General features: G+C 50.7%; 1 protein-coding gene across 37 annotated transcripts in view, besides 1 other annotated feature; it reads right to left on the bottom strand.

Moving 5' to 3' along the window:
* CLEC16A (C-type lectin domain containing 16A) overlaps positions 1-19,046 on the bottom strand; it is a 237,623-nt gene that overhangs the window by 89,526 nt on the left and 129,051 nt on the right. The window lies entirely within an intron of this gene.
* Positions 1,160-1,249: an enhancer, noted in NCBI's record as "active region_10408". NCBI's record gives its function as "activates an Ori minimal core promoter by ATAC-STARR-seq in GM12878 lymphoblastoid cells {active_cell/tissue: GM12878}" and the evidence as "EXISTENCE:reporter gene assay evidence [ECO:0000049][PMID:35858748]".

Below are 19,046 nucleotides of genomic sequence, written 5' to 3'. Positions count from 1 at the left end.
GGACAGGAACTGAAATCAGTTATGTTCAAATCTGTATTTGCAAAAACGTTCAAGGAAATGCTGGAAATGCCTGCAAGCCAGGGATTGGTTTAAGCATGGGCTTTTTTGTGTTTGTGTGTGTTTTTGTTTTTGAGACAGAGCCAGGCTGGAGTGCAGTGGTATGATCTTGGCTCACGGGAACCTCCCGGGAGGCTGTGATCCTCCCGCCTCAGCCTCCCAAGTAGCTGGGACTACAGGCTCCCACCACCACACCTGGCATGTGTGTGTGTGTGTGTGTGTGTGTGTGTGTGTGTGTGTGTTTGTTTTTGTTTGTTTTTTGAGACAGGTCTTACTCTATCGCCCAGACTGGAGTGCAGTGGTGTGATCTTGGCTCACTTCAGTCTTGACCTGCTGGGCTCAAGCGATCCTCCCACCTCAGCTTCCCAAGCAGCTTGGACTACAGGTGCATACCACCACACGTGGCTAGTTTTTCGTTTTTGTAGAGATGGAGTTTTGCCATGTTGCCCAGGCTGGTCTCGAACTCCTGACCTCAAGTGATCTGTCCACCTGCCTCCCAAAGTGCTGGATAAATTACAGGCGTGAGCCACTGTGCTTGGCCTAAGTGTGTTTTTAAGGAGCTTGTTTTCTGTCGATAATGGAGGGCTTCTGCACACTGAGTCCAAGCAGACCCTACAGTGAGAGAGGGCAGCCGACGGGGAAGCCTTCTGAGGAAGCAAACCCATGGCAGTCCCAGGGTGTCAGAACACCCCTGCTGAGTACCTGTTACTTAAGCACACCTTTCCTGCAAAGAAAAGTGGGGTAACTTACGAGGGGGAGCTCAGGCATCAAGTTCAGCTACCCGTGGGTTACCAGAAAGCCTAGCAGATCATCTGCAGCCTGAGTCATGGAACTTGAGCTTACACCTATCAGAGGCCTGCTGTGTTTCAGGCATCGTGCTCAAAGCTTTCCTGACAATTTTCCTCATTTTTCAGATGAAGGAAACCTGAGGCTCAGGTTAAGCCATGTGCTGAGGTCACCTGGTTGGCAAGCAGCAGAGGTAGCTTGAATGCTGGCGGTCAGACTCTGCGGAGTACCCATTTACCCACTAACTCTACCCATCTCCGAGCCAGCGCCCTTCCCTGTGCAGTGCCAGCCCCTCAGGACAGCCCTGCAGAGGTGGGGGAGGCCTGAGACTCAGTAGGTGCAGAAGGCTGCCAGGGCACACAGCCCCACCCGCCCTACGAGGTGAATCACAGCCTTCAGAGCATGCTCTTGCCTCTACCTGCTGCCTCTCAGGCGCCACTGGGGCCAGACCCGGGGGCATCCACCACAAAGTAAGGCTTCTTCATCAAGTGGCCGATACTGAATAGGCCTGTGAGCTTTTACTGAAAGCCACACACAACTTCCCTTTTACCCTTTGAAATAAGTGATATCATTTTCAACACCAGTTATCCATCTCCTGTGTCTTTTAATAGAAGCAGCTCATGGTGTGAGTTGGGGGAGATATAAACACAGGAGGGAAAACTGCTTACCTCACGTCTTTATGGAGAAAGGAGATTAGGCGCTTTAAAGGCAAAATCCTGGCTAGGCTTGGTGGCTCACGCCTGTAATCCCAACACCTTGGGAGGCCAAGGTGGGCGGGGTGCTTGAGCCCAGAAGTTTAAGACTAGCCTGGGCAACGTAGTGAGACCTCATCTCAAAAAATTAAAATAGGCTGGGCACCGTGGCTCATGCCTGTAATCCCAGCACTTTGGGAGGCTGAGGTGGGTGGATTACTTGAGGTCAGGAGTTCAAGACGAGCCTGGCCAACAAGGCAAGAAACCCTCTCTCTACTAAAAATACCAAAAAAAAAAAAAAAAAAAAAAAAAAATTAGCTGGGTATGGTAGCGCATGCCTGTAATCCCAGCTACTTGGGAGGCTGAGGCAGGAGAATCACTTGAACCAGGGAGGGAGAGGTTGCAGTGAGCCAAGATCACACCACTGCACTCCAGCCTGAACAACAGAGCGAGACTCTCTCTCAAAAACTAACTAAATAAAATAAAATAGAAACAAAAATCCAGAGAGCCTCCTAAAACACTGGACTGTAGATTCTCTGGACCTCCAGGCAGGATGTTAGGTAAGCGGGGAGTTGCGGAGAAATGTAATAGGAAAGTGGTCCACTGTGAAGGCTTCACACACAGGCTCCCCGGCAATGCTGCAGACAGCCATCAACATCACTCCGCTGCCTGAGGACATCTGGTATGGAAGAACTCCAGCTGGGTTGTCCATGGTCCCTTTCCTGACAATGGCCCCTAAGAATCATTCCATGAATCCACAAACACAGGAAAGTAACAGCCCATTCTTAAGCTCTTCTTCAACCCAAGAATTTCAAAGTGAAATTCTGACCACACTTGAGGTCCAGAGTTCGAGACCAGACTGGGCAACATAGCGAGTCCCTGTTTCTATTTTTTAAAAAAGTGAATGTCTGACAGCTCACTCCCATGACTGACGCAGCCTGGTCGTATGAGGCAGGTCCCCCTTCTGCGGTTCTTCCAGGGAACCAGAATGCAGGGGACGCATGATTCTACGCAATGGAGTGTTTGGTGGAGAACTAAATAAGCAAGCGTATTTCTGGGACTATTTTAAAATAAACAACGACCAAGCAGAGTTAGGAATGTCTAAACAGATATTCTGAGTGTAAAGGATGGTGGAGGTTTGAGAGAACACAGCTGTGTGGCCTCCAAACACACATGAAGGAGGCAGGAATTCCAACCGCTGGAAGCCTTTTCTGGCACCTCATTGATGAGCAAAGGCAGGGATGGAAAAAACGGAGCAGAGCACAGGGTTGACTGGTTTGGACCGGTGCCTGGCGGTGGCTGGGTGGGCCAGCCCATGCTGCGAGTCATGCCCAGCACCCCTCAGTAGGCTGCCCTATCATTCTTACAGATGCCATTTCCTGAGTCGGGCCCTTCCCTGGCCACCTGGGATATATGGGAAGAATTCCCATAGCCACTTCTGACCAGGTGACCAGGCGACCAGGTGGACATGCTCAGCAGATGGGTAAGCTTCTGCTCGTCATGCTGGCACAGATGACAAAGACCAACAGGGGCCAGTGTGGGACAGAGGGGAGGAACAGGCATTTCCCTGCGCTGTTGGCAGGAGGTTTGATGGGCAGCTTCTTTTATGGAGGGCAATTTGAGCAATTTCACAGCTAGGACTGCCTCCTGACAAAGTGCTGTGTTTGTGAACTGAGTTGCTAAAAGGCTGACCCCTCAGCGTTCTGTAACATGGACAATTGGACACAGCCAATGCATATCAACAAGGGTGATGCACAAGGGATGGTCCCTCGGGTGCTTCCATTTAATGCAATGACGGCAGATAAGCCCACCCTCATACCCTGATGTCCCGACGCAGGAAAACCCCACTTTAAAGTGCCAAAACCAAGTGCAGAACAAGATGTCCATGGTCCCATTCATGTAAAAACTACTGCTACTGTCATTCATTTAGTAAAAATTTAGTGGGTGTCTACTAAGTGCCAGGCCTGTGGCTGGGCTGGAGTGACCGTGGTGAACAAGACAGCCCGAGGCTATCCACCCAGAGGAATACGTATGTGTGCAGGTGCGAAGAGCTTGGTCCAGAAGGACACCCTCCCCCTCCCCTGAACGGAGGCTGGGAGTTCCTGCTGGAGAAGCAGGTGGCCTGGGGGGAAAGGGGGTACTGTGGGTGGCTGGGGAAATGGCAGGGCACTTTCACTTTTTACTCTACAAACTGCACTGTTTGAGCCTTTTACAATGTGAATATGTTTCTATATTACTTGGTAGCCTAACAAGTATGCCTTTAAACAACAAAAGGAAAACCCGAAATTACTAACTCAACGGCAGGACCCCCACCCGACTCAGCCCAGGACGGCGCCCACTCCATGGGTAAGTGATGGGTACAGATGGCAATAAGTAAGCCAATTTTCCAGCCAATGCTAAGGTTTTGATCTGGCAAACTTCTGGGTCCTGTGAAAGGAGCAGGGGTGCCAAGCACTGCCTCTAGCCGCACATCACAGCCCTCTCTGGAGAAGCTCTCCGCGCGTGGCTGGGGGCCTGGTGCACTTCCTGCCCGAGGCTGTGCACCAGATGGCACAAATCCCACTCCCTGAGAGCACCAAGCTTCCTACCCAGGGGTCGCCATGGGCCTTCCTTGGCGGCCTTCTTTGGGTGTGAGAAATACACCAAGGTCTTTCTGGGCCCATCCCCAACGAGGCTTTCACCCACACCCAGCTGAAGATGGTACACAGATAATGGCCCGGAAGCATCAGCCACAGCACCTGAAGCAGAAACATTTCAGATACCCTGGTGTGGGACAGACTGCCTCCCACCTGGCAAGGATGAGCTGGTTCTGTGGAGTCCTAGCTGTGGATGCTTGGGCTGGTCATGTGACCTCTCAGAGCCTCTGGCCTCAAAAGCATGAAACAAAGTTGTTAGCTGCTGCAGAAGTGCAGGAGGATTCCAGAGGATTTCTTTCATCTGATTCAGCAAGGGCCCAGTCAAGCACCTGGCACAGGGCAAGGCCACATGTGTGATCCGCACTGAGGGACTGGGGCTGTCAGCACAGAGGCCCCTTTCGAGACAGAGAGCCCCCAGCTGAGAGAAAGCTCTAACAGGGTGTTCTGTATGGAAAGAGGATCTGAAGGTAGCAAGAGCTCTGAAACTCTCAGGCTGCAGAGGCTTCAAAGGCTCTCAGACTTGTCCCAAGAGCTCCCAGGTGGAGGAGCCCAGGGCGGCTGCACAGCGGGGGAGCTCTGACCAGCTTCTCAGACACTTCCTGCCTCAAACTGGGTAGGCCTCCCCTCCCAGCCACCTTGTGTGGAAGCAGCACAGTGACCTGGCCAGCGACCTGGGCAAGCCCCGTCCTCCTCTCTGGGCCTCGGTGTACCCATGTAAAAGCTGACCGATGAGCTTGGGAACAGATGCAGAATCTGTCCAGCAGAGCTGCAGCCATTCCTGGTGATTGTGAGAAATAATTCATATCTGATTCTCCACCCTCCTGGAAGAAGTGTTGGTGAGGCAGATATAGAACTTCCTTGCCTGAGGCCAAAAAGAACCTGGGGTTGAATCCCACTTTTACTTGAATACTACTTTTACTCAAACACAGGGCTTAACCCAGCCTTCTAAACCAATGGTCTGCCAAGCAAAATCTGTCCACATTTAATATCTATAGGTAGCATAAAAAAACAAGTAGTAGTTTAGGTTTGTTCCACAAATTTAAAATTACAATACTGCATATTAAATGTGGTTTGTTAACTGCTTCACTCTCCCTGTGCTGTAGGACGAAAAGTCCAGCCTAACACCTGGGGAGGCAGGGCTTCCTCCTGGACGTGAGAGTGGGCCTGGCTCTTGGGACCGGGTCCAGGTGAGGCTCTGTGGGCAGGCAGGGGTCCCAGGGGAGCCTTAACAAGTCCACCTTGTGTGCAGACTATAGGGGGCAGCAGGTGGGGGATGGGGGTGGGGACAGGGACCTAAGATGGTTTTAGATGGCACCTACGTGAATGGTTTCTAATTTTATCTCAACCTCTATTTAGCTTCAGATGTTGTGAGAAAATACATATTTAGTTTATGGATCTCCTGATTTCACGGGTTTAGGTTTGGACTAGCTTAACTTACTCCATCTTGCCCTGACAGGGATAAATTGTGAGTACATTCAAAGAAAATTACTAAGTAAGTGATCACAAGGTTGGTTCTCTGACACGGCAAACATCTCAGGTGGTGCTGGAGGGCCTCCCCCTGAGGATTCCTGGTGCCCAGACACAGAACTGCCTCTGTCGAGCTGAGGTGACATGAACTGAATTGAAGGAGATGGGGTAGCGCTGACTTAAAAGATGACACCAGGCTCTGGAAAGGCAGGAACTGGGCATAAATGTCTCGGCTCTCAATCACCTGGGGTCAGGAGTTTGAGACCAGCCTGGACAACATGGTGAAACACCATCTCTACTAAAAATATAAAAATTAGCCAGGCATGGTGGCAGGCGCCTGTATTCCCAGCCACTTGGGAGGCTGAGGCAGGAGAATCGCTTGAACCTGGGAGGCGGAGGTTGCAGTGAGCAGAGATAGCGACACTGCACTCCAGCCTGGGCAACAAGAGCAAAACTCCGTCTCAAAACAAACAAACAAACAAACAAAATAATGTCTCGGCTCTCACCATCCCCATCTGAATTCCACTTTGGCTGTCCTTAACAGGAAATTACCTACCAGTGAGGTACTATCCGAAGCCTTACCATATAGCAAAGCACTGTTAAAACAACATGGATCGCATCACTGAATCCTCATAATAATCCCACAGTAAGGGGGAAACAGTTCCTAGCCCCACTTTACAGATGAGGTGGAGGAATTTGTCCAGGTCACAGAGGTAGCGAGTGGGGATCTTGAGCCAGGTGGGGTGGCCTCAGGCCTGTGCTCCTCCCCACCAGCCCCATGGCCTCCACTGTCAGCCCAGGGCATGAGCCCAGGGCCCTCCTTGAGCCTCATCCTTGGTCCAGTGCTTGTGTGCACACCCCAGAAGCCAAGGAAGCCAAAGTTCCCTGGAAACAAGCCTAACTACCAAAACAAAGGCAATAACAGTAACAATGCACTTTCAACAAACAGTGGCTCTGCGCTCCACACACTTCATCCTCACTGACTCCCTGTGAAGCGGCTATTACTTAGGATTCTCCCTACTGCCCAGAGGACTAGCTGAAGACCCGAGAGGCCTCCAAGTCACTTCCCACAGGTACTGATATGGTTTGGATGTTTGTCCCCGCCCAATCTCAGGTTGAAATGGGATTCCCGGCCAGGCACAGTGGCTCACGCCTGTAATCCCAGCTCTCTGGAAGGCTGAGGTGGGAGGGTCACTTAAGCCCAGGGGTTTGAGACTAGCCTGGGCAACAAGATGAAACCCTTTCTCTACAAAAAATACAAAAATGAGCTGGGTGTGGTGGCGCACACCTGTGGTCCCAGCTACTCACATACAACACTTGGGACCAGAGTCCCACACAGTGGGATGAAGCCACTCAGATCCAGACAGGAGGCTGTTCTTGGCTCTAGAGACCCAAGGCTACCACAGGACAATAACAACTACCAAGCACTTATAACACACGGCACTGTCTTCAGCCATTTCAAATGCATTTTCTCACCAAATCCTCCTATGTTATGTTGTTGGGCCTCATCATCTCCATTTTACAGCTGAAGAAACAGACACGCAGAAAGATGAAGAGGACAGCCAAGGCCTCACGCACGTGACAAAGCTGGGTCTTGGCCGAGTCTGCCTGCTTGCCAGCGTGCTGCCCCAGCACCTCCACGGGCACTCAACCTGAAGCAAGCGTGCTTTCTCCTTCACTAACCCATCCCGCCATCTGTTTCTTATAAGCCACAGATGTGCCCTCTGACCATCCAATTAAGGCCTGTGGAGTGAAAATGGGCCTGTCACATTCTTCTCTGACAGCCAGGCTGAAAGCCCCCTTCCCGTGATCCTCCTGGAACCCAGGGTGGGGGCTTCATGGCCTCGTCTGTAAATGAGTCCAGTGCTTGGTGCTGGCCGAGAAGGGTGGCACAGAGGTGCCTTTCAACCCTTCAGACAACGACAGGCTCCTGGGGAAGAGGGGCTTCTGGTGCTGGCTCCCTTCCCCCAGGCCTGACAAAACTCCGACTCTCTCTCTGCAAAAGGGCTGCTGATTTATATCCAGGGCCAAGGAGAGGCCTCCCCAAACTCAGGGCCCTCATGGGCCGTGAGTTATTCCAGCCTGCGTGCAGCCTTCTGGCCATGGGCCCTTTCTGCCTTCAGAATTGATGGCACCATATTAATTTTCCTCGAGGTAAATCACCACCCAGCCCCGGCTACCTCTTTCTCCACAGTGTCTTCGAGAGGCGCTGAACAAGGGCAGGCTTTTTCAGGGGAATGGAAGGGGCACCAGGTGGAACGCGAATGATTTACTAGATATTCTGACATGTCGATTGACCTTTCCAGTTTAAAATTGCCTCCCTCCACAGTGGAGATGACTCATATAGCCGGCGAGTTCAGAAGACTAATGCTGGGCCTGCGAATTAAGTCTTGATCTTATTCCAACTTCTCTGTGGAGAAAGAGACCCACGCAAAGTGTGTCAGATGTCTGTCAGACCAGGAGGTTTACAGGCTTCCTCTAGGGCCCTGGAGTCATGGTCTATTTTTGGAAAACAAGGCCAATGTCCTCATTTGTGGGCTCGGACCCTAACCCACTCGCATTTCCATTCATTCATATCTGGCCTGTCTTCACTGAGTACCTGCTACACTGTGGGCCCTGGGATCCAACTTTGAATAAGAATTGGGGTTTCTGCCCCCAAGCAGCTTGGTACCCACATGAACCAAAGAACCACATAAAAATAGAAAATCACACACAGTGGGAAATGCCATGAACAGAGAGAGATCTGGTGGTCAGGGAAGATTTTGCTAGGAAGTAAGCTGTCTGCAGAGTTGAAGGTGTCAGGGAGTTGGCCAAACACAGGGGACCATGGTGGCAGGAATAAGCATCCCAAGCAGAGGGATGGGCCTGTATGAAGGCCCAGAGCTGAAGGGGACACACTCAGCAAGCAGGGGACTAAAAGGGGTGGTATGGGTACATCCCAGAGCCAGGCCGCGGGGCTGGAGAGAGGGCTCAGTGTGGTCCTGCTGGGGCCCATACGGCTTGGGCTTGGACTCTGCTGGTGGAGAGAAAACCAGCAATGGGGGGCTGGGACAGAGGCAGTGCTGTGTTCCCTCAGGTTCCCAACCTCCTGGACAAGGTGAAAAGCTGGTTTCCATTCCGGGTAGAACACACACAGGCAAGGGGAGACCACAGCCATCCCCTTGAGCCCTGTAAGACAGACTCTTCATGTCAGGTCCCCCTGGGCCAGCCTCCCTGCCTCCCAGCGGACAGGGGAGCGCCACAGGCAGCAGGAGGCTGGAAGTGGAGGGCTTGCCCCAGTTCAGGAGAGGACTGGGGCTTAGGGCCAGGGCCACCTGTTTATTCTGGGCTCCTTTAGCCCAAATCAGTGTTGGAGGAAACTGGCAGATATTATTACATGGGCTTAGGAAGGAAAGAAAAATGGTTGGGTGATGCTAGGATGGAGTGAGAGGAGGTGAAGCTTCGGAGGAGACCGAGGGCTCTGGAGCTGAGTGGCCCTGGGGTCACGTGCTACCTGGGCCCCTCCCACATGGGGCCTCCACACTTAAATCCTCAGTGCCTGGCACATGATGAGCTGCCTTGGCCAGGCACAGTGGCTCCCTCCAGTAATCCTAGCACTTTGGGAGGCCAGGTGGAAGGATAGCTTGAGCCCAGGAGTTTAAGACTAGCCTGGGCAAAATGGCAAAATACTGTCTCTACAAAAAATCAAAAAAATTATCCAGGCGTGGTGGTGTCCACCTATAGGCCCAGCTACTTGGCAAGCTGAGGTGGGAGGATTGCTTGAGCCCAGGAGTTTGATGCTGTAGTGAGCCACGTTTGTGCCACTGCACTCCAGCCTGGGCAACAGAGCAAGACCCTGCCTCAAACAACAACAAACAAACAAACAAACAAACAACAACAACAACAACAAAACAAACAAAACCTCAATCCCCCTACATGGTGAGCTGCTGATGAGGGGCAGCTCTTACTAAGCAAACCTCCTTGGCTGGCTGTGTGTCTGCAGGACTTCTCAGAGCCTTTGTCTGGGCTCTCCAGGGGTCAGTGTTGTTGCAGGGGCTGGGGCTGAGGGTAAACCACAGATCTATGGGAGGAAGAGCTGCAACCTTAAACTTAGATGGGGAGCTCCCACTCTCCCTAACTGGATGGAGAAGCTGTTGATGCACAGCTGGGCTCCCACAATTTCCAGTGCTGAATATAACCCCACGCCCACACACAACTAAACAAAACTAGGGTACAGATTTGCCAAATATGGAAGTTTTAAAATTTTATATTCAGGGCAGGCAGGACTTCTACCTCAAGCCAGCTGTGAGTCTTAGGCCTTAAAGGAAGAAAGCGTTCCTTTCCTTCCAGAAGAGAGAGGTGGAGGAGAGGGAGCACCAGCTTAGCTTGATCGCCAGGGCTGAGCTGGCCCAGGATGCAGCAGGGCCTCCATAAACGGCTGCTGAACGAATGCACAGCCGCTCCGGCTGCCTTTACACACCACTCATTCCCAATTCACCAGTAAACCCACTGGGATAGAAGCCTCATCAAGTCTTACCTGTAGCCCCAAATTTTAACCCAAAAGAGTTCCTGTCTTTGGTGTCACCCAGCATCAAGATTTGGGGTGGGCTGGCTCCTGTTTTCAAGAGAAACACTTTCCTCACAGCAGGAAGAGAATTGAAAGACCGGACCCTAGGTCTTCTGGCAAGGAACAGCCTCAATGGGGAAGTGGCAGCCACCTGGGAGCCCTAGGGCCCTGGCCCTGCAGGGGTGAGAAACTGTCCACGAGCAGATCTGCACTTGTACAGAGCACGCCGTCGCGATTTCCCACGTGTACAGGTGTACATACACACATGCACACACTCACGTGTGCACACAGTTTCTAAGGTTATTTTGGGTTTGTTTTTTAACAAGAGCCATCAAAATCAAGGGAGACATGCACGAACCTTCACAGAACTTCAATTCTCATACATATACTTGAGGCCTGAATCAGAATGTTTTCCCATCACAGTCGACAATATTCTTCTTTTTTTTAGACGGATTCTCACTCTGTCGCCCAGGCTGGAGTGCAGTAGTGCCATCTTGGCTCACTGCAACCTCTGCCTCCCAAGCTCAAGCGATCCTCCCACCTCAACCTCCCAAGTAGCTGGGACTACAGGTGCATGCCACCACACCTGGCTACTTTTGTTCTCATTTATTGAAAAAACAAAAAGGCACATTTATTTCATTTCATTTAAAAACCAACCACTTTAGTCAAGAACTAGCGTTCTGCAGCGGACCATTTAATGACTGGAACTCTCTAATCCTTTCCTGGAGAAAGGCCTCTTTCAAAAGCCAACTTGGGCTTTTGGTTAAAATTCCTCCTGGCTCAAATTGGCTGGAGAGAACCCCTATGCTCTCCTGGCTTGGAACTGCTGTCCTGTAAGAAATGATAGGGCCCTATGGCTTGAGGAATCCAGGGAGTGGGTACCTTGTGACTAGGTGGGGAGGGGAGTGGAAGGGTCAGATGGCCATGGAGGAGGATTTTTGAGCCTTTTAGTGCAAAAAGGAAAGGAGAGCTTGGGGAGACGTGAGCCAGGGCTACCTGGAGGAGCCCTACCTGGAGGCGCCACAGCAACAAGGACATGGGTGAATGGAGAAGACGGGCAAGAAGGGCAGGATGTGGCTGGGTGCCCAGGACAGAGGAGGCAACCTGGGAACATCAGCGGGCTCAGACCAGGGGCACCCTAGAGATGGGAGTAGAGTGGAGAGGGGGCTGAGGGAAGAATTTTAACTTGTACCAACAAAGTGGGGCTCTTTTGTCCAGACAAAAGGACAAAAGGTTGCTGTTTCTGAGACCCAGGGGCCCACTGGGCATGCCTCCACCCTGCACCGGGGCTGCAAGGTCAGAGGGATCTGCCAAGGACAGGGCAGGAGGTGGGGCCCAGGCCATACAACTGAAGAGCATTTGAGGGGTAGCTGTCTCCTGCCTGCCTGTTCATCTGCTTAGTTCTCCAGGCTTCCTCAATTGCAGCGTGTCCCGCAGAGCCTCTGCCTACCCTTCCAGCCCCATCTGCTGCCAGTTTCTGCATCCCACCTGGGGTGGGCTGTAATAGCCCCCAAAGATGCCCACGACCTAATCCCTGGAACCTGTGAACATGCTACCTTACAAAAGGGATTTCATGGGTGTGACTGAATCAAAGAGCCTGAGCTGGGGGAGCTTATCTTGGATTACCTGGACAGGCCCAATCTAATCAGAAGGGGTTCTAAAAGTGAAAGAGTGAGGCAGACGAGGAGGTGAGAGTGATGCAGTGTGAGAAGGACTCATCCTGCCACTGCTGGCTTTGAGAATGGAGGGAGGGGCCATAAGCCAAAGCACAGGCGACCTTTAGAATCCAGAAAAGGCAAGAAAACAGATTCTCCCCAGAGATTTCGGGAAGGACCAACACCTAGACTTTAGCCCAGTGAGACCCGTGGCAGACTTCTAACCTCCAGAGCTGTAAGAGAATAACTGGGTGTTGTAGAAATGTGTAGCAGCAGCCATATGAAACGAATGGACCGCCCAATGTTCCAGACACGGGCTACTGACCTGGTAGCCAAACATACCTGTGTGTCTTCACTGCAGATGCCCCCTCTGCCTGGAAGGCCCTTCCCCAGGTTGTCTGCTGCTTCACACTGGCTCAGAACAACCCTTGGCTCAAAGGCTCGGACGCCCAGAAGCAATTCTTGTCCCTGTTTACCCACCCACCCCCAGCAAGGGCCCAACTACTCTGTATTCTTCTTGATCCTGCAGTTTCCAGCAGAGCACCTGCACCCACCTGCTGAAGTGCATCACTGTGCTAGATGCCTGAAGGGAGGAGGGCTCTGTCCTGTCCTTGTGTTTCTGGTGGCTAGCACAGTGCCTACCATTCAGCAAATGATGGATGGACGCGCACGGGAGTGGGTGAGGAAACACTCAGAGTCCCTGTCTACAGTCAAGTGTGCAATCTGCAGTCTGGATCTTGTGTTTCTGGTGGGAAACAGATGGGATCTATTATGGTTACTGTGCTATGATAGGAACAAGATGCCATGATAGGAAGGGAAGCCGCTGAAGCCAGGGGCCCTGGGAGACCTCAGGAAGTGGCAACAGGGGCTGCATCAATCTAGTCTGGAACCTTCTGCTAGACACTGCTTGGGACTCACATTTCCCAGAGTCTGCCAGCATGGCTCATCAGACTGGAGGCAGCAAAGGGAAGGGGGCCCAGCAGGGAACAGTGAAAGCTGTAGATGTTCATCAGTTTTGCTGCTCTGAAGAATGCAAACCATAGCTGGGAGAGAGTCGAGTTTTATGAGAAACCAGTTAAAGGCTAAAGGTTAACCGGAGTCATTTAAATGACATGCATATTTCCTGGCTTTGCACAGCTCTGGAAAACCCCAACTGCATTTAGAAAAATGCAAAGTGTATTATAAAATTCAAAGGCCAGGGTATAGGTAGTAAAAAAAAGATAAATGCAAAAAGATAATGTGGATGTGCCAAGTTGAAAAACCAGGAAGTTGCATGCGGCTTTTCTACATGAGAATTTGGAAGGAAAAGGAAAGAAAGTCTATCTCACCTTGAACCTTGTATAAAAAATGGTGGCATCCCAGTCAGTCCAAAGGCTGGAGGGAAGATGGGATGAGAACTTTTGGCTCTTAATTATTAGCAAATGACTAAAAAGTTGTGAGGACTGGGGGAGGCCAGCTCAGCCCCAACAACTTCTGAGCCTCCATGGTCTGGCTGGCTGACTCTGGCCTGGACAGTCTCTACTCCTAAGGCATTTTTATGACTGCCTGAAACAAAACAGGCCATTTCCAAGACTGGCACTGGTTCAGAACAACCACAAGAGATAGGGATGGCTGGAGTTTCAGTGCTGCAGGGAGTTTCAAGTTCTGCAAGGGAATCTCCTGCCTAGCCCATGCAAGTGATTATACACAAGGCCAAGCACAGAATGGGTTCAGCTACCTTCTGAGCACACATGTAGCTGTGTGTGGGGCTGCAGGGCTGCAGGGCTGGGGAGCATCCAGGAGGCCCAACCTATTACGCAGGCCCTTCCTCTCAAGACAGGTGCCCAAGGCTCGAGAGGGCAAGTGATTTGTCTTCAAGTCAGGTAGAGGCACACTGTATGCAAGCTTAACTTCCACAAACTCAACTACACGGATGCAGGAAAGTGGAGAGGAGAGGGAGAGAAGCGTAAACAGCTTAAATACCACAGGCCTCTCGGGCTGCCAGACCCATGAGGGAACCTTAGGGGCAGATGGGAATCTGCCTCCCTCATGGGCTTGGCTCTTCCTGCCTATCCCTTGAGCGCCCCTCAAAGTGCCCAGCATGATTCTCCCTGGTAAAGAAACCAGGATTTCATCTGACATGGCCAACCTCTTCCTCTAAAACCTGCTCAACGACGGGGTCTACTGCAGCCCTGCAGTTCAGACTGGCTGTGCCGGACCCACTCCTCATTGAGAAATGTCATTCACCCATGAGGGATCTGTGAGGGTGACTGGGACGGCAGGTGGTTTCCACCTGAGAAACTGACTTTGGAACTTAGAGAGATGTGACTGCTGTACCATGCTACCAAAGCCAGCCTTCCTGATGGCCTCTGGCTGATTAGCAGGTGGGCAAGGAGAGTTCCTAGAGGGAACTAGAATTCATGGAAAGCAGCAAAGCAGACACTGAGTGCTGAGTTCCAGAACATTCCTCACTCTGTCTAATCCCATGGTTCTCAACACTGGCTATGCAATGGAATCCTTTAGGGAGCATTTGAAAATATAGATGTCAGGGCCCCACCCCGGAGCCAGTGACTCAGAACCTTCTGGAGTGAGGTCTGGGTACAGATTGTTTTCAAAGTCCTGCTGGGCCAGAAACCACAGGGCCTTCGCACCACCCACCCTCACGCTTGGTCACAGCTCTGTCCTGGCCTGGCCTAGGAGCAAATCAGATGCCCCTAGAGCGGTTCCCCTGTGGCAAACACATTTTCACTTCTATTTTCAGGCAGGTCAAAGTAAAAATGAAAATTTATGCTTTTACATGTCCCAAGCTCAGTATTCTGTACATTTCTCTAAACACACACACACACACACACACACACACACACACACACACACACACGTTTTTTTTTGTAGAGATGGAGTTTCACCATGTTGGCCAGGCTAGTCATAACTCCTAGCCTCAAGTGATCCGCCTGCCTCAGCCTCCCAAAGTGCTGGGATTACCGGCATGAGCCACCGCGCCTAGCCATATTCTGTACATTTCTTAAAAGTTTAGAAGTATGAACAACATTTGACATTCATTTGAAAAATCTGTCCAGGCCGCCTGCAGCACCACGCATTGTGCTGGTCACCAGCAATACAGAGACCCCTCACACCCTCCACCAGAGTTCTTAAGTCTTAAATCAGGATTTTGCTCTTTTTGTTTTTGACAGGGTCTCACGTTGTCCCCTAGGCTGAAGTGCAGTGGCTCGATCACAGCTCACTACAGCCTCAATCTCCCCAGGTTTCAAGTGATCCTCCCGCCTCAACCTCCCAAGTAGCTGAAACTACAGGCACACGCCACTACGCCTGGCTAATGTTTTTTCTTTTCTTTCTTTTTTTTTTTTTTTTTTGAGACAGAGTCTCACTCTGTCACCCAGGCTGGAGTGCAGTGGCACAATCTTGGCTCACTGTAACCTCCACCTCCCTGGTTCAAGCAATTCCCCTGCCTCAGTCTCCGGTGTAACTGGGATTACAGGCGCATGCCACCACATCCGGCTAATTTTTTTGTATTTTTAGGAGAGACAGGGTTTCACCATGTCAATCAGATTGGTCTCCAACTCCTGACTTCAGGCAATCCGCTCGCCTCAGCCTCCCAAAGTGCTGGGATTACAGGAATGAGCCACCACGCCCGACCTTTTTAGTAGAGAAAAGGTCTCTCCATGTTGCCTCGGCTGGTCTTGAACTCCTAGGCTCAAGTGATCCTCCCGCCTCAGCCTCCCAAAGTCCTGGGATTACAGGCCTAAGCCACTGTGCCCGGCCCTGCTCTTTGTTTTTAAATAGATTCTAATGATCAGTCCTTGTGATTTCAGGTGCTTCCTAAGCCTCAACTTTAACGGGGATTTAGGATTCAAGGTCACAATACTTTTCAGCGTTTCTGCCTAATCTGAATAGAACCCATCTCCCTCCTACAAGAGGGTGGGAGGAAGTGCTGCTCCATTCTTCGATTCCTGATCTCCCCAGCAGGCCCTGGGGTGGGCTGGAGAGTGTGCATTGGCTGAGGGCAGGGTGGACCTGGTCAGTGGCTGGGCCAGACTCTGGGGCAATTGGCAGGCCAGCTTCCTGGGCTGGGAGAGGTGATGTATAGGAGAGATGGCCTTCTCCTGACTTACACCTTCCTTAAAGGTCGCGCTGTCTGTCACTGGTTCAGAGATTTGTTTTGGGTGTTCTGTGGTTGATCAGATATCAGGGCCAGAAGGCAACCCTCCCCTCCTGAGGCCTGAGCAATCACCGGATCCTGTGTCAAATCTGGTGGCTGGGTTCACTGGGGAAGGTGGGCGTGTGATGCAGGGGAACCCAGCAGCTTCAGGGTGAGGAGCTGTGTGTAGGCGGAGCCCCAGACAGCTCACAGAGTGGGCTGGAGCGAGGGATGTCTTGAAACTCAACGTTAATCCTCAACCCCACTCCCCCCATGAATTCCTGTTTTCTGTGGCGGCTCTTACTGCCCTCCCCTCCCCGTCAGCCAGATGTTGTCAAGGAGGCTGGCTTTGGCAGCCCTGTGGGGCAGAGTGGGGGTTTTGGGGCACCCTGAAGCCGGTGGCCCAAGGGGGAAATCTCTTGAGCTCCGTATGACTGGGCTAGCACAGTGAGGAGCAGATGGGGGGCACACATGGCACAGTGAGCTGACACCACAATGGGAAGCCAGGACCACTGAAGGGTCTGACGTCTATTTAAAAGGATTCTACTGGCTGTTGGTGTGGAAAGGGCAGAGGAGGAAGCTGACCCCCTAGTCCCAGTTTTCTAGAATCCCCACCAGCTGCAGGGGAGCTAAAGGCAGTGAGACGGAGCTGGGTTCTCTATCTATGTGATGCTTAAGCTGGCAGGATTTGCTAAGAGCTTGGTCACAGGGATGAGAAGAAACAAGGATATTCCAAGGTTTGGCTGAATAACTAGAGTGATCATTTCTTGACAGAGGAGTAGTGGGGTTTGGATGAGAAACCCAAAAACCAGCTTCTTTGCCAGCCCTCGTCAACTGGGCTCTATCAAGACGCCAGGCACAGTGCTAAACACTGATAGGCAGCGTCTCATCCTCCTGACATCTCATCCTCCCAAGCACCTCATCCTCCCCCTGGTCAAAAAACATGCCAAGGCCAGGCGCAGGGGCTCACACCTGTAATCCCAGCACTTTGGGAGGCTGAGGCAAGAGGACCGCTTGAGCCCAGGAGTTTGAGACCAGCCAGGGCAACATAGCAAGACTCCATCTCTATAAAACATTTAAAAATTAGCTGGACATGGTAGCACATGCCTGTGGTCCCAGCTACTCTAGAGGCTAAGGTGGGAGGAGCCCTTGAGCCCCCGGGGTTCAAGGTTGCAGAGAGCTATGATTATGCCACGCACTCCAGCCAAAGCAACAAAGTGACACCATGTCTCAAAACACACACACACACACACACACATACACACACACACACAGACACACACACACACACACACACACACACACACAGACATATCCAAGGTCACAGTGCTGGGCTGGGACTCAACCGCCAGCAGGACCCCTGCCCCTCCCTGGAAGCCCTCTGGTGCAGCTGCACCCAGAAGCTGTCCACATCCCAAGGGTTGATGTGCCTCGGAAGTTACTGCTTTTTGAGCAAATCTAAGCCACTAAGTCCCTTCCTTTGTGAGAAATCAAAACCATGGTCCCATTTCCAAATGTGTGGGAAGGACTGGTATTTTGAAAAAGTATTTCAACTGTAGAGTGCCTTCAGCAGAAACAATATAGATATTTTTTCTTGAGATAGGGTCTTGCTCGATTGCCCAGGCCGGAGTGCAGTGGTGCAATCATTACTCACTGCTAATTTTTAAAAAAATTTTTGTAGAGACAGGGTCTCACTATGCTGCCCAGGCTGGTCTCCAACTCCTGGGCTCAAGCAATCCTCCCACCTCAGCCTCCCAAAGTGCTGGGATTATAGGCATGATCCACTGTGCCTGGCTTAAAAACAATAATTTTAATAGGCAAAAAAAGCTCAAACAGTCTCCACTACTCAAATGCCTCATTTCTCTAATGCATAGAATTGAATCTAGAAATCCTGCTTTGTAAAGGAAAAAAGAATAATTTGTGTGTGTGTGTTTTTCAGAAGAACTGTCCTAGAGCCACTTCAATACATCAACAACAAAAGAGGGCACAGTCATTAGGTGACCTTGTGATCTCAGCAGAACATGTCTCTCTAATGTGGCTCAATTATGATTGTAAGTTTATAAAACAGGGAAAGATTACAGGAATATACATTAAACCACATCAATGAATGCCACTGAGGAAAAAAAAATAGGTCCAGCAGACAGGTACCAATCAAATAATCAATACACAGGAAACAGCTACATCACCCTCTCCTTTAAAAGAACCAAATAATACTGCAATTGGATTTACTTAAAAATTTTCCACTTGAACAAAACTGACAGCTCTATTACAATCCCATTTCCAGTCAGTTTATAGGATACAAATTTCATTTCTCCATATTTCTACTTCATTTCTGAAAAGTGGCCAGCAACATTATTCATCAAGTACACAGGGAAGAAGTTTAATTCATAGAGAGGGGAAACATTGTGAATTCCATGTTTTCCATTTCCTTAGAGAATTGGTGGTTTAACTGAAACTTGATTTTTTTCCCAATCTGTCAAGTTCAGGGTGCCTGCCTCAAAGTGGGGTAAGGAAAAAGAAAAAAGAAAAAAAAGAGAAGAAAAGAGGAAGCATTTTAGCCCTTAGAGAGGTTAAATAATTTGGGGTAGCTCAAACGTTGAAATCAAAACAATCTACATTTTTAGAAAATGCCAAGATGGGTTTAAGATACTTGGTATATGTCATTAGAGGGGGACAAAAGTCTGCAGTGGGAACCTGACTATTCAAATGTATGTTAATGATGAACAAACATCATTTTTCTAACTCACAATCCAACTGCCTGAAATTACTCAAGATGAGATTTGGAAATGCTATTTCTATGTTAATGAAAGTCCTTCAGTGTTTATGAATAATTACAGTGACTGCTAAAGCTTTAATCAGTTCAATCCAAGAAGCCTTGAGTGTCTACTATGTGCCAGGCCCTGTGCCAGGCCCTAGGGATATACAGAGCGGTAAGCGCACATCTGAAATGTGCACAAGGCACGTGGAGCAGGAGGAAGGAGGCTGGGAGGGCCATCCAGGCAGGGGCGACAAGGGCAGGCAGGCTGTGTCCAGGAGCCTGTGAGCAGCCTGGGCACTGTGTGGGCAGATGCA

The sequence above is a fragment of the Homo sapiens genome, chromosome 16, assembly GCF_000001405.40.
Source record: "Homo sapiens chromosome 16, GRCh38.p14 Primary Assembly".
NCBI classification, from domain to species: Eukaryota; Metazoa; Chordata; class Mammalia; order Primates; family Hominidae; genus Homo; species Homo sapiens.
This window is presented reverse-complemented; position numbering and strand designations above follow the sequence as displayed.